The sequence below is a fragment of the Homo sapiens genome, chromosome 2 (genome assembly GCF_000001405.40).
Source record: "Homo sapiens chromosome 2, GRCh38.p14 Primary Assembly".
In the NCBI taxonomy this organism is placed as follows: Eukaryota; Metazoa; Chordata; class Mammalia; order Primates; family Hominidae; genus Homo; species Homo sapiens.
Window position 1 is genome coordinate 19,014,328 of NC_000002.12, and position 14,274 is coordinate 19,028,601.

The 14,274-nt window shown below is 40.3% G+C and overlaps 2 long non-coding RNA genes across 2 annotated transcripts in view; one reads left to right on the forward strand and one right to left on the reverse strand.

Annotated features, from left to right (window-relative positions):
• The window catches only part of LINC01376 (long intergenic non-protein coding RNA 1376), a 40,521-nt gene extending 27,877 nt beyond the window's left edge, over positions 1-12,644 (reverse strand). Inside the window, exons 1-2 of the long non-coding RNA NR_135287.1 lie at positions 12,314-12,644; positions 8,007-8,160 (exon numbers count right to left, since the gene is read on the reverse strand). This is a non-coding gene — a long non-coding RNA (long intergenic non-protein coding RNA 1376). The remainder of the gene's footprint in view (positions 1-8,006; positions 8,161-12,313) is intronic.
• Positions 1-14,274, forward strand: part of LOC105373456 (uncharacterized) — a 529,181-nt gene that overhangs the window by 454,152 nt on the left and 60,755 nt on the right. The window lies entirely within an intron of this gene.

A 14,274-nucleotide genomic window follows, 5' to 3' on the forward strand; every position in this document is an offset into this window, starting at 1 on the left:
TTATCCTGCCTCCAGAGTAGCTAGGATTACAGGCATGCGCCACCATGCCTGGCTAATTTTGTATTTTTAGTAGAGACAGGGTTTCTCCATGTTGGTTAGGCTGGTCTCGAAATCCCAACTTCAGGTGATCAGCCTGCCTCAGACTCCCAAAATGTTGGGATTACAGGCGTGAGCCACCATACCCAGCTTGTATTATTTCTTTATTTTATTTTATTTTATTTATTATACTTTAAGTTCTGGGGTGCATGTGCAGAATGTGCAGTTTTGTTACATAGGTATACATGTGCCATGGTGGTTTGCTGCACCCATCAACCCATCACCTACATTCGGTTTTTCCTAATGCTATCCCTCCCCTAGCTCCCCACACCCCGAGAGTGTGATGTTCCCAGTGTGTGATGTTCCCCTCCCTGTGTCCATGTGTTCTCATTGTTCAACTCCCACTTATGAGTGAGAACATGCAGTCCTTGATTTTCTGTTCTTGTGTTAGTTTGCTGAGAATGATGCTCTCCAGCTTCATCCATGTCCCTGAAAAGGACATGAACTTATCCTTTTTTATGGCTGCATAGTATTCCATGGTGTATATGTGCCACATTTTCTTTATCCAGTCTATCACTGATGGACATTTGGGTTGGTTCCAAGTCTTTGCTATTGTGAATAGTACCACAATAAACATATGTGCGCATGTGTCTTTATAGTAGCATGATTTATAATCCTTTGGGTATATACCCAGTAATGGGATTGCTGGGCCAAATGGTATTTCTAGTTCTAGATCCTAGAGGAATCGCCACACTGTCTTCCACAATGGTTGAACTACTTTACACTCTCATCAACAGTATAAAAGCATCCCTATTTCTCCACAGCCTCTCCAGCATCTGTTATTTCCTGAATTTTTAATGATCGCCATTCTAACTGGCGTGAGATGATATCTCATTGTGGTTTTGATTTGCATTTCTCTAGTGACTAGTGATGATGAGCTTCTTTTCGTATGTTTGTTGGCTGCATAAATGTCTTCTTTTCAGAAGTGTCTGTTTATATCCTTTGCCCACTTTTTGATGGGGTTGTTTTTTTTTTCTTGTAAATTTGTTTAAGTTCTTTGTAGATTCTGGATATTAGCCCTTTGTCAGATGGATAGATTGCAAAAATTTTCTCCCATTCCGTAGGTTGTTCACTCTCTTCACACTGATGATAGTTTCTTTTGCTGTGCAGAAGCTCTTCAGTTTAATTAGATCCCATTTGTCAATTTTGGCTTTTGTTGCCATTGCTTTTGGTGTTTTAGACATGAAGTCTTTGCCCATGCCTATGTCCTCAATGGCATTGCCTAGGTTTTCTTCTAGGATTTTTATGCTTTTAGGTCTTATGTTTAAGTCTTTAATCCATCTTGAGTTAATTTTTCTATAAGGTGTGAGGAAGGGGTCCAGTTTCAGTTTTCTGCATATGGATAGCTGGTTTTCCCAACATCATTTATTGAATAGGGAATCCTTTCCCCAATGCTTGTTTTTGTCAGATTTGTCAAAGATCAGATGCTTATAGATGTGTGGTGTTATTTCTGAGGCCTCTGTTGTGTTCCATTGGTCTATAGATCTGTTTTGGTACCAGTACCACGCTATTTTGGTTACTGTAGCCTTGTAGTATAGTTTGAAGTCAGGTAGCGTGATGCCTCCGGCTTTGTTCTTGTTGCTTAGGATTGTCTTGGCTATGCGGGCTCTTTTATGGTTCAGTGTGAAGTTTAAAATAGTTTTTTCCAATTCTGTGAAGAAAGTCATTGGTAGCTTGATGGGGATGGCATTGTACCTATAAATTACCTTGGGCAGTATGGCCATTTTCATGATATTGATTCTTCCTATTCATGAGCATGGAATGTTCTTCCATTTGTTTGTGTCCTCTTTTATTTCGATGAGCAGTTGTGTATAGTTCTCCTTGAAGAAGTCCTCCACATCCCGTGTAAGATGGATTCCTAGGTATTTTATTCTCTTTGTAGCAATTGTGAATGGGACTTCACTCATGATTTGGCTCTCTGTTTGTCTGTTATTGGTATATAGGAATGCTTGTGATTTTTGTACGTTGATTTTGTATCCTGAGACTTTGCTGAATTTGCTTATCAGCTTAAGGAGATTTGGGGCTGAGACAGTGGGGTCTTCTAAATATACAATCACGTATCCACAAACAGAGACAATTTGACTTCCTCTTTTCCTATTTGAATACTCTTTATTTCTCTCTCTTGCCTAATTGCTCTGGCCAGAACTTCCAATACTATGTTGAATAGGAGTAGTGAGAGAGGGCATCCTTGTCTTGTGCTGGTTTTCAAAGGGAATGCCTACAGCTTTTGCCCATTCAGTATGATATTGGCTGTGGATTTGTCATAAATAGCTCCTATCATTTCGAGATGCATTCCATCAATACCTAGTCTATTGAGAGTTTTTAGCATGAAGGGCTGTTGAATTTTGTCAAAGGCCTTTTCTGCATCTATTGAGATAATCATGTGGTTTTTGTCATTAGTTCTGTTTATGTGATGGATTACATTTATTGATTTGTGTATGCTGAACCAGCCTTGCATCCCAGGGATGAAGCTGACTTGATCCTGGTGGATAAGCTTTTTGATATGCTGCTGGATTCTGTTTGCCAGTATTTTATTAAGGATTTTTGCATCGATGTTTATGAGGGATATTGGCCTGAAATTTTCTTTTTTTGTTTTGTCTCTGCCACGTTTTGCTATCAGGATGATGCTGGCCTCATAAAATGAGTTAGGGAGGAGTCCCTCTTTTGCCGTTGTTTGGAATAGTTTCAGAAGGAATGGTACCAGTTCCTCTTTGTATCTCTGGTAGAATTCATCTGTGAATCCGTCTAGTCCTGGACTTTTTTTGGTTGGTAGGCTACTAATTACTGCCTCAATTTCAGAACTTTTTATTGGTCTATTCAGGGATTAGACTTCTTCATGGTTTAGACTTGGGAGGGTGTATGCATCCTGGAATTTATCCGTTTCTTCTAGATTTTCTAGTTTATTTGTGTAGAAGTGTTTATAGTATTCTCTGTTGGTAGTTTGTATTTCTGTGGGACCAGTGGTGATATCCCCTTTATCGTTTTTTATTGTGTCTATTTGATTCTTCTCTCTTTTCTTCTTTATTAGTCTGGCTAGTGGTCTATATTTTGTTGATCTTTTCAAAAAACCAGCTCTTGGATTCATTGATTTTTTGAAGGTTTTTTTGGTGTCTCTATCTCCTTCATTTCGGCTCTGATCTTAGTTATTTCTTGTCTTCTGCTAGCTTTTGAATTTGTTTGCTCTTGCTTCTCTAGTTCTTTTAATTGTGATATTAGGGTGTCGATTTTAGATCTTTCCTGCTTTCCCTTGTGGGCATTTAGTGCTATAAATTTCCCTCTACACACTGCTTCAAATGTGTACCAGACATTCTGTTACATTGTGTCTTTGTTCTCATCGGTTTCAAAGAACATATTTATTTCTGCCTTAATTTCATTATTTACCCAGTATTCATTCAGGAGCTCGTTATTCAGTTTCCGTGTAGTTGTGCAGTTTTGAGTGAGTTTCTTAACCTGGAGTTCTAATTTGATTGCACTGTGGTCTGAGAGACTGTTTGTTATGATTTCCATGCTTTTGCATTTGCTGAGGAGTGTTTTATTTCCAATTATGTGGTCAATTTTAGAATAAGTGCGATGAGGTGCTGAGAAGAATGTATGTTCTGTTGATTTGGGGTGGAGAGTTCTGTAGATGTCTATTAGGTCCACTTGATCCAGAGCTGAGTTCAAGTCCTGAATATCCTTGTTAATTTCCTGTCTCATTGATCTGTCTAATATTGACAGAAGTGTTAAAGTCTCCCATTATTATTGTGTGGGAGTCTAAGTCTCTTTGTAAGTCTCTAATAACTTGCTTTATGAATCTGGGTGCTCCTGTATTGGGTGCATGTATATTTAGGATAGTTAGCTCTTCTTATTGCGTTGATCCCTTTACCATTACATAATGCCCTTCTTTGTCTCTTTCGATCTTTGTTTGTTTAAAGTCTGTTTTATCAGAGACCAGGATTGCAACTCCTGTTTTTGTTTGTTTGTTTTGTTTGTTTGTTTGTTTTGCTTTCCACTTGCTTGGTAAATATTCCTCCATCCCTTTATTTTGAGCCTATGTGTATCTTTGCATGTGAGATGGGCCTCCTGAATACAGCACACCAATGGATCTTGACTCTTTATCCAATTTGCCAGTCTGTGTCTTTTAACTGGGGGCATTTAGCCCATTTAAATTTAATGTTAATATTGTTATTTCTGAATTTGATCCTATCATTATTATGCTAGCTGGTTATTTTGTCCATTAGTTATGCAATTTCTTTACAATTTGGCATGTTTTTGCAGTGGTTGGTATTGGTTGTTCCTTTCTATGTTTAGTGCTTCCTTCAGGAGCTCTTGTAAGGCAGGCCTTGTAGTGACAAACATCTCTCAGCATTTGCTTGTCTATAAAGGATTTTATTTCTCTTTCACTTCTGAAGCTTAGTTTGGCTGGATATGAAATTCTGGTTTGAAAATTCTTTTCTTTAAGAATGTTGAATATTGGCCCCCACTCTCTTCTGGCTTGTAGGGTTTCTGCTGAGAGATCCGCTGTTAGTCTGATGGGCTTCCCTTTGTGGGTAATCCGATGTTTCTCTCTGGCTGCCCTTAACATTTTTTCCCTTCATTTCAACCTTGGTGAATCTGACAATTATGTGTCTTGGGGTTGCTCTTATCGAGGAGTATCTTTGTAGTGTTCTCTCTATTTCCTGAATTTGAATGTTGGCCTATCCTACTGGGTTGGGGAAGTTTTCCTGGATAATATCATGAAGAGTGTTTTCCAACCTGGTTCCATTCTCCCTGTCACTTTCAGGTACACCAATCAAAAGTAGATTTGGTCTTTTCACATAGTCCCATATTTCTTGGAGCCTTTGTTCATTGCTTTTCATTCTTTTTTCTCTAATCTTGTCTTCTTGCTTTATTTCATTAAGTTGTTCTTCAATCTCTTTTATCCTTTCTTCTGCCTGATCGATTTAGCTATTGATACTTGTGAATGCTTCACGAAGTTCTTGTGCTTTGTTTTTCAGCTCCATCAGGTCATTTACGTTCTTCTCTAAACCGGTTATTCTACTTAGCAATTCATCTGACCTTTTTTCAGGGTTCTTAGCTTCCTTGCATTGGGTTAGAACATGCTCCTTTAACTCGGAAGAGTTTGTTATTACCCACCTTCTGAAACCTACTTCTGTCAACTCATCAAACTCATTCTCTGTCCAGTTTTGTTCCCTTGCTGGCGAGGAGTTGTGATCCTTTGGAGGAGAAGCTGGTTTTTGGAATTTTCAGCCTTTTGGTGCTGGTTTCTCCCCATCTTCGTGGATTTATCTACCTTTGGTCTTTGATGTTGGCGACCTTTGTATGGGGTCTCTAACAGTCAGGCCCCTCTGCTGCAAGTCTGCTGCAGTTTTCTGGAGGTCCACTCCAGACCCTGTTTGCCTGGGTGTCACAAGCAGAGGCTGCAGAATAGCAAAGATTGTTGCCTGTTCTTTCCTCTGAAAGCTTTGTCCCAGAGGGGCACCTGCCAGATGTCAGCCAGAGCTCTCCTGTATGAGGTGTCTGTCAGCCCCTACTGGGAGTTGTCCCCCAGATAGGATACACGGGGGTCAGGGACCCACTTGAGGAGGCAGTCTGACCCTTAGCAGAGCTCAAAAGCTGTGCTGGGAGATCCATGCTCTCTTCAGAGCCAGCAGGCAGAAACATTTAAGTCTGCTGAAGCTGCACCCACAGCTGCCCCTTCTCCCAGGAGCTCTGTCCCAGGGAGATGGGGGTTTTATCTATAAGTCCCTGTCTGGGGATGCTGCCGTTTTTTCAGAGATGCCCTGCCCAGAGAGGCAGTCTGGCGGCAGTGGCCTTGCTGAGCTGCAGTGGGCTCCGCCCAGTTCAAACTTCCAGTTGTCTTTGTTTACACTATGAGAGTAAAACCACCTACTCAAGCCTCAGCAATGGCGGACACCCCTCCCCACACCAAGCTGGAGTGTCCCAGGTCGAGCTCAGACTGTTGTGCTGGCTACGAGAATTTCAAGTCAGTGGATCTTAGTTTGCTGGGCTCTGTGGGGGTGGGACCTGCCAAACCAGACCACTTGGCTCCCTGGCTTCAGCCCCCTTTCCAGGGGAGTGAACTATTCTGTCTTTCTGACATTCCAGGCACCACTGGGGTATGGGGAAAAAAAAAAAACAAAAACCTCCTGCAGCTAGTTCAGTGTCTGCCCAGAACAGTTGCCCAGTTTTGTGCTTGAAACCCAGGGCTCTGGTGGTGTAGACACCAGAGGGAATCTCCTGGTCTGCGGGTTGCGAAGACTATGGGAAAAGTGCAGTATCTGGGCCAGAGTGCTCCATTCCTCAGGCACAGTCCCTCACAGCTTCCCTTGGGTAGGGGAGAGAACTCCCCAACCCCTTGTGCTTCCAAGGTAAGGCAACGCCCCGCCCTGCTTTAGCTCACCCTCCATGGGCTACATCCACTGTCCAACCAGTCCCAATGAGATGAACTGGTTACCTCAGTTGGAAATGCAGAAATCATCTGCCTTCTGTGTTGATCTCACTGGGAGGTGCAGAGTGGACCTGTTCCTATTCGGCCATCTTGCCAGCAATCCATATTATTTCTTAAATACTTACTTGCATGAAAATCTAAAATTATCTCAAAATAATTTTAGTTTTTAAAAATGAGTCATTGAAAAATTTTTGAAAATCACCTTTCAAAAATTGGTTGAGATGAAGTAGCTACTTTGACAGACCAGTTCGGTGGTGCTGTTCTGAGAGTCTTTCATGGAAGTCTGCCTAAAGCCTTTCAAAGGTTTTCTAAGCACACAGTTCCCTGCATCACATTCCTTTTGCTTGAGACAGCTAGAGTGGGTGTTTGTTTGTTTTGTTATCGGCAACTGAACCCTCATGCTGATGCCCTGTGACTTCATAGTTCCATCACGGCTTTCTATCCAAGTGGGATGTCCTCAGTTTAAAAGTCTAAAACTGTCCAGAGATAGTTAGCTAAAGCATAGAACGGTCAGTGGGCCTCTCTCAGCTAGGACTCTCACAGGTATTGTCTGAAAGTGAAAGAAAAAGCAGGAAGAAACAATGGGGTCTTGGTTATGGGACATTTTTAATGATTTTGCTGGTGCAGAGATTGGGGTATTGATGAGAGTATAGGTTAAAAGTCCCAAGGAAACTTCAGGAAAACCTGAGCAGTGTTTCAAATTTCTAATACATTTAAACTCTTTGGAGTTTTAATGGAGACTTGCTCTTAGTGAAAAACTTGGTGAGATTGCATTGTGTTTCCCATAGGAAATTAAAAGCAGCTGAGAGATTTTTTTTGAGCTCCTATCTATCCTCCTCTCCATTTCTCAAAGGCTTAAGAAATTCCCCTCACAGTAAATAGAACAACATAGAAGTGTCCCGGACCCAAGGTGAATGAATTTGCTAGGCCATGGTCAGGTGCTATTGCAGCAACTGGAGTTGGGCAACGCGGCGCTCATGTTTAGAAAGGGTGAAGCCACAGCCACAGAGCTCTAGGGTAGAGCTGTCTTCTCAGTGGCCCTAGCCATCCTGTGCTCTGCTTCCTTTTCCCTTTCTCCCTACCCACCTTTCATCATCCTCAGAAGCCCATGTGTGTGAAAGGCAGCGGAGGAATGTGGGTGGGTTGACTTGTATAATTAAATCCATGTTGCCTTGTGTTCTTTAGAATTAATAAGGAATTCTTCCCATTGAAACTCACCATGACATCTTCCCTCTGACTCAGATTTCTTTTTTGCTTTTCTCTTCTTTCCTTGGCTAAAAGCATTAGACATGGGGCTATGGTTCAAATTAGCATCCTACATGTCTCTTCTGTCTGTCTTTGCTTAATTGAGCTTTTCTGTTCAGGGAAAAGTGTAGTTTGTTTATATTTCATTTTTCTTAAATTCCACTTATCTGTCTTTGTCCCTTTTCTTTCTTCTTTTAGAAAACTTAGGAAAAGAGAAAACAAGAGAGTTTTTCACCTTGCGTATGACTGTAAGGTTGGAGAAAGTGCACTGCTGGCCAAACCTTGACAATCCAGGTGTTGTTCTTTGAGGTTCTTTGTTCCCTGGATCTTCATATCCTGACACCAGGAAAACTGTGCTCTCATATACTTATCCGCTGAGGCCAGGAGAGCTGTGAGACGGGGAAAAATAGTGAACAAATGTTACTTCTACTTTCCTGGGTCATGTTGCGAAACACCTTTTTATTGGGGGTAATAATTTGACTTCATTTCCTTATAAAAGTGGATTTATGTGATGGATATGTGATATATATTTTTTGCCACCGTTTTTGCAGGATAGTGGTTGTATCAGTTAGGATTAGATTCACTGTGAATAACATAAACCCAAAATAACAGTGGCTTAAACCTGATAAAAATTTCTCTTTCTGCTCATGTTGAAAAACAGCTGTAGCTGTCCTGGGCTAGTGTGGTGGCTCCACTCCATGAAGGCTTTCTTGGAGACCCAAAAGAAAGCAGCTCAGGGTGTCACCCTCAGCTTCATGGTCCATGTCGGCAGTTATTATGTCATCTTCAGAACAATCTTACAAACCCTCTGGAAGAGTCCATCTCCCTCCTTTACCGGCTCCTGACTTTTGACCACATGGAAGGTCTCAGTTTACTTTCATTCATGAGATTTGGGGTCATGGCACATATTTGAGTCTGACCTGTGCTGCCTATCAGATGTGCAAATCTGGGCAAATCACTAAACTTCTATGCATCTATATTTTCATCATATGGAAAATTGAAATTATAACGTATAACTCAGAGCAGTATAGTATAAGGATAAAAGACAATATGTAAAGAAAAATTGGTCTGCTGATTAGCATGAAAATGAATATCATTTTACAGTTTTTAAGTTTCTTATTGAGCATTTTTTTTATTTTTAAAGAAAACCAATCCCATATTTAGAGACTGGAGATTTTTTTCCTGGTGAGAACATCCTCAAAAAATGGGCTTTATGTCCCCTACAAGCCCTTCTCCCAAGTGGAAAGAAACCTGATGTGCAGTGGGACAACTTCATTGTTTGTTCCACCTCCAATGAGGCTTTCACTATAGGTTTCATCTATGGGGGATATGGTGGATTTATGGTCAATATGCACTACCCTCTCCTTCCAGTGGAGTGTTTTTTAAACTGCGGATCAAGAGATCCATTAGATGATAATGAAGTCATTTTAGTGTATCATGACCAGTATGTTTGAATGAAAAAATAGAATGAAATAGAATACAATAGTATAGTTAGAAAAAAATTAGGCCATATCACAAATAATCAATGTAAGTTTTTCATCAAACATGTTTCACATATATGTGCATACACATGTATGTGTATTTTAGGTTATGATGTGTTTCTTCAAATGGATCATGAGTTTTGAGATAGAATGATAGGTTGGGAGGAATTACTCTACCTGACATAAAAGCAGACTATATAATCACCGTGTTTAACACAATGTGTTCTTTGCAGAGAGATAGACACATTGATCAATGGAACAGAATAGAGAACTCAAAAGTAGACCCCCACATATAAGCCCAACTGACTTTTAACAAAAGTGGGAAAGCAATTCAATGAAGAAGAAATCAATTGGCCTTTTCAATTCAACTTGGCCTTGTCAAAAAGTGGCCCAAATGGGTAGACCTCTCATTTGCATTCTAAGTAGCAGCAAGAAGACAAGAGATGCCTCCATGTGTGCCAGAGGTCTTTTAAGAAAAAGATCCAGGAGCAGCCACAATCTTTAAGCTGAAGTCTCATTGGCTGGAACTTAGTTTCATGGCCATACCAACTGTAAGGAAACCTGAGAAATTCATCTTCCTTCTGAATAGTCATATGCCTGGCTTAAATGTCTATTATTATATATAAGTAGAATAAGATAGATATTGGGGCACAGTTAACTATCTGTCAGTGTTACACTGTTGTTTAGATTTATCCAGAGATGCTCTGCAAGTGCAGCATTCCATCTCTCCAGAACACACAAACGATCTTTCCACAGCACATATTTTATCCCCTGGTTAAAAACCTCAGATGCCTCCAATGCACATAGAGTAAAGACCAAACTCCTTTGTACGACATTTAGATTTTTGAACTTTTAGCTCAAGCCATATTTCTAGCCATCACCTGCCCACTGCATTCTCCCAAATGCTAAGACTCTCTGATACCTAAACATTCCTGCTCAAGTTCTCCCCTCCCCTGGAATGCATTCCAACTCCTGCCCCACTCCATATATCTGACCGATGACGCCTCATCCATGCAGACCTGTATCAATCATCATCCTCTCTCTCTCTCTTTCTCTCTCTCTCCCCTGCCCTTCCTGACTCCTCAAGCCAGCGGAAGTACCTGTTTCCTTCTCTAGGCCACCTTAATTCAGACGTACACGGACGATGGCAGCACCCCGTTTCTTTGTTGTTGTGATTTTTTTTTGTTTTGCTGCAGACTACAGGCTCCTCCAACACAAGACCTATCATCCCGAATTCTGTTGCCACAGATCTTGGGGTCCCTCCACACCCTTAAAATTCATCATTGAATTATTGAGAGGTTTCTCAGCATCAAAATATTGACAGAAAGAAAACAGTATCTGTTTATGACAGGTGTGCTCTGAGTGGGCAAAGCTGTTATTTCACAGGTTCAGTTGTGAAGAAATGATCTGTGATGAGAACGGTTTGGGAAAGCTAAGGTGAAAGAATGATTTTTGACATCCGGAGATCCCTATTTCGTTGTCATGAGTGAGTCACACTCACAGTAGACCACAGCAAAGCCAATCTCCTCAGACCCCATGGCCCCTTATTAGGAATATCTGCCGGCTTGAAGGAGAAAGATGTCTTTTGATTTTAGCATGCAAAGACACAGTAGCAAGGACAACTTTAACAATATCATTTCTCTAGTTATGTATTTGAAAAATAAATCTTCTCTCTAAGGAAAAATATACATTCTATTCTTGGAAACTCTGCCTTCTTTTTTTGTATGAAATGCCAGGTGACATTCAAGTATGGTCCCACCCTACTCTTTTTTGTTTGTTTGTTTGTTTTGTTTTTGAGACTGAGTCTCACTCACTCTGTCGCCCAGGCTGGAGTGCAGTGGCACAATCTTGGCTCACTGCAAGCTCTGCCTCCTGGGTTCATGCCATTCTTCTGCCTCAGTCTCCTAAGTAGCTGGGACTACAGGTGCCTGCCACCATGCCCAGCTAATTTTTTCTATTTTTAGTAGAGACGGGGTTTCACTGTGTTAGCCAGGTTGGTCTTGATCTCCTGACCTCCTGATCCGCCTGCCTCGGCCTCCCAAAGTTCTGGAATTACAGGTGTGAGCCACCGCTCCCGGCCGGTCCCACCCTACTCTTAATTGGCCTTCCTGAGCTGCAGTTTCTTAAACTGTGAAATCTAGCTTCTCTACTGTGGATGATTTTGCTTACCAGATGTGTATATGTTCCTTTATATTTCCCTGCCTTTCAATTACGTCAGGTTATATGATATTTTAACCAATGAACTGTGAACAGAAGTGTCAAGATAGGTATCATTCAGAGCGTCCCCGTCTTTCTCTTCCCATAAAGAACATGTGTTTGAGACAGTATAGTTACAAGGTGAAGGAGGATTTTACATATGCAGGAAATACATCTTTACTTTGTTAAGCCCCTGAGATTGGGGAATTTGTCTGTTGCAGCGTCTAGGATTAATAATCATACTAACATACTGAGAGTGTGAAGTTCTTAGTAGGATTAAACAGGTTATTTCCATACAAGCATGAGCACAGTGTCTGAGAGAAACAGGCATCAGTCACTGTGAAGTAAGATTGTCATTAAGATGGATAAATAATTTTACAAAATTGAATAGTTATATTGAAAGAAAAAATGTCTGGAGAACAGAAAATCTTGGTTCTAGAGTTGTACAATTTTAGACTTGGACTTAGAAGCTATTTAATCTAGTATTTTCCAAACGATCTGGTTATAAACAACAGGTTCTTAAGCAGAAAATACAGATTTCTGGGCCCATCTCCACTTACAATGAATCACAATCTCTAGGGAAGAAGTGTTGATTTGAATTGTTTTGTTGGTTTCCAAATGGAAGGAAAGTGAGGCCGGGGAAGTTGATGACTTTTCTAGGGCCACAGAACTGATTATTGACATGTTGGAACTAGAACCCAGCTTCCACAGAGCTGCATGCTTTCCTTCTGGGATCACATAATAATGTCCTAATAGAGTGAGACCAGGACTGACCCTTTGTCCCTCTATCTCTGATAAATCATGTCAAGACCTGCAAATGATTTTACCCCTTAACAATGAAAAGAAGATGTAATTTTAAAATTACCTTGGATGTACAGTGAAAGCAGCATTCCCATAATCAATCATCCAAAATCACGGGGTTATTTGGAGCTATTTGAAGGAAAGTAAATTGAAAACATGTTGTTAAACAATGCACTAAAGAGTTATCAAATCATAAACATCTAGATTACTTTAACATGTTGATTATTCCACATTTAGGGTCTCCTTACAAAGCAACTCTGGCCATGAAGAGACCTGGAAAATTCAATGAATCCCTTTCTAAGTTGTTAACTGTACTGAGTTGAATCATTTGGCTATGTGGGAACATATGTTAAAGTAAAAAAAAAAAAAAAAGCTATATATTACATATATATTCTTTTTGGAGCTATTATTCACACTTTTCACTAAGCAGAAGACACAGAGGCCTGCTATTAGGACATGTCTCTGAGGATACAGAAATAGTTTGGGGAGTACAGTGGTATAATATTGAACACATTAAAACCTATCTGGAGCTTTGGAAATCAAATATGCAGACATTCCATAATGACTCTTGGGTTTTAGCATAATTCCTGAACCTGAAAATTCATAACTAAATAATGGCAGGACATTTATGACATAAAATGCCTTAAACCATTTGTTTATTATTATATGTGGATTTTGAGTTTTATGTTTAAGAAAATTGAAAGCCTACCCTTTCTTTTTTTTCCCACTTTGGAAGAGTGATATACCAATTACCTTTGAGAGACTTTGTTTTTCTTCCTGGAAGAGAGCTAAACCAGGACTGAAGTTTATGTCAAGGAATCCATTTGGTTATCAAATCTGTGATCATGCGCTCTTATTAAACTAAACCAAATTAAGTTAATATTTGTTGAAAAATAAATGATGTAATTCGTGAAGAACTCTGTTTTACTCCCAGGATGGTGGCCTGTTTCTTCAAAGTAGCCTGTGAGAAAACAAAGTCTGAAATAGTTCTTTAAACTGAAAAGAGGAAATTGTTTTGAGTGTGACAGGTGTCTAGAGGGATCACTACCCTTGAGTGATCTTTGATCTCGGGGTTATCGTTATAAGACTAAATTATATATGCAATTTTCCTGAGACCAAATTCAATGACTGAACTCTAAAATTAATCTGGATATTATTTCTTCTTGGAGTTCTAAAACAAGGCCAGGGAAGATTAGAAGCCACTCATCTGACTGAGACGCATCCTCTGACTTTTCTTGGAATGGATTCCTTATGTGGACAAAATGTGATTTGAATTGCATCTGGTTACTGTTTTTAGAAAATGTTGTTGAAATTCAAACTGAGCCTGTGTACCGTGAGCTGATTTATCAGTGCCTGCCCATGTGAGAACCAGAAAGGAACTAGGAGGTGTAACTGTGGGGAGGTCGCTCTGGGGTCTTTCATCCAGGTTACCTATTAAAGGGGCAGGTCTCCAGGCCAGAAGGAGCAAATGCAGTACACTCCTAGAGGGAAAAGCCTTCTCTTGAGGCTCTGAGAACTGCTAGAGAAGAAACAACAGCAGCATGGTGGAACGAAGACAGAATTTGAAATCAAACACAGCTAAATCTTAAGCCTAACTCCACCATGTATGAGATACATGACTTTTAAAATTAAGTTTTGTAACCTCTCTGAGCCTCAGTTTTCCTACTGGCAAAATAGGAGTAATATTGCCTGCTTTGTTGCGATGTGAGAATTAACAGGGGATTTTATGCATAGTATCTGACATCTGGTAGGTCCTCAAAAATTAAAAAAAAAAATAGTACATCTGCAATCACCTTATCAGCAAATAACATATATTGAATATTTATTATGGGTCAAGCACTATACTCCTTTACCTCCTGTTGATATCTACCTGGACACCTAGCATTAGTGGATACTCAAAAATAAGTCATAAACTGACAAAATGATGGATGAGTCTCCTTTTCCTATTGACTTTCTTTGGCTATGAAAGCACAAATAGGCAAGACCAGAGGGGAAACGTCCACGTGTTCTGTTGTGGATCCCTCA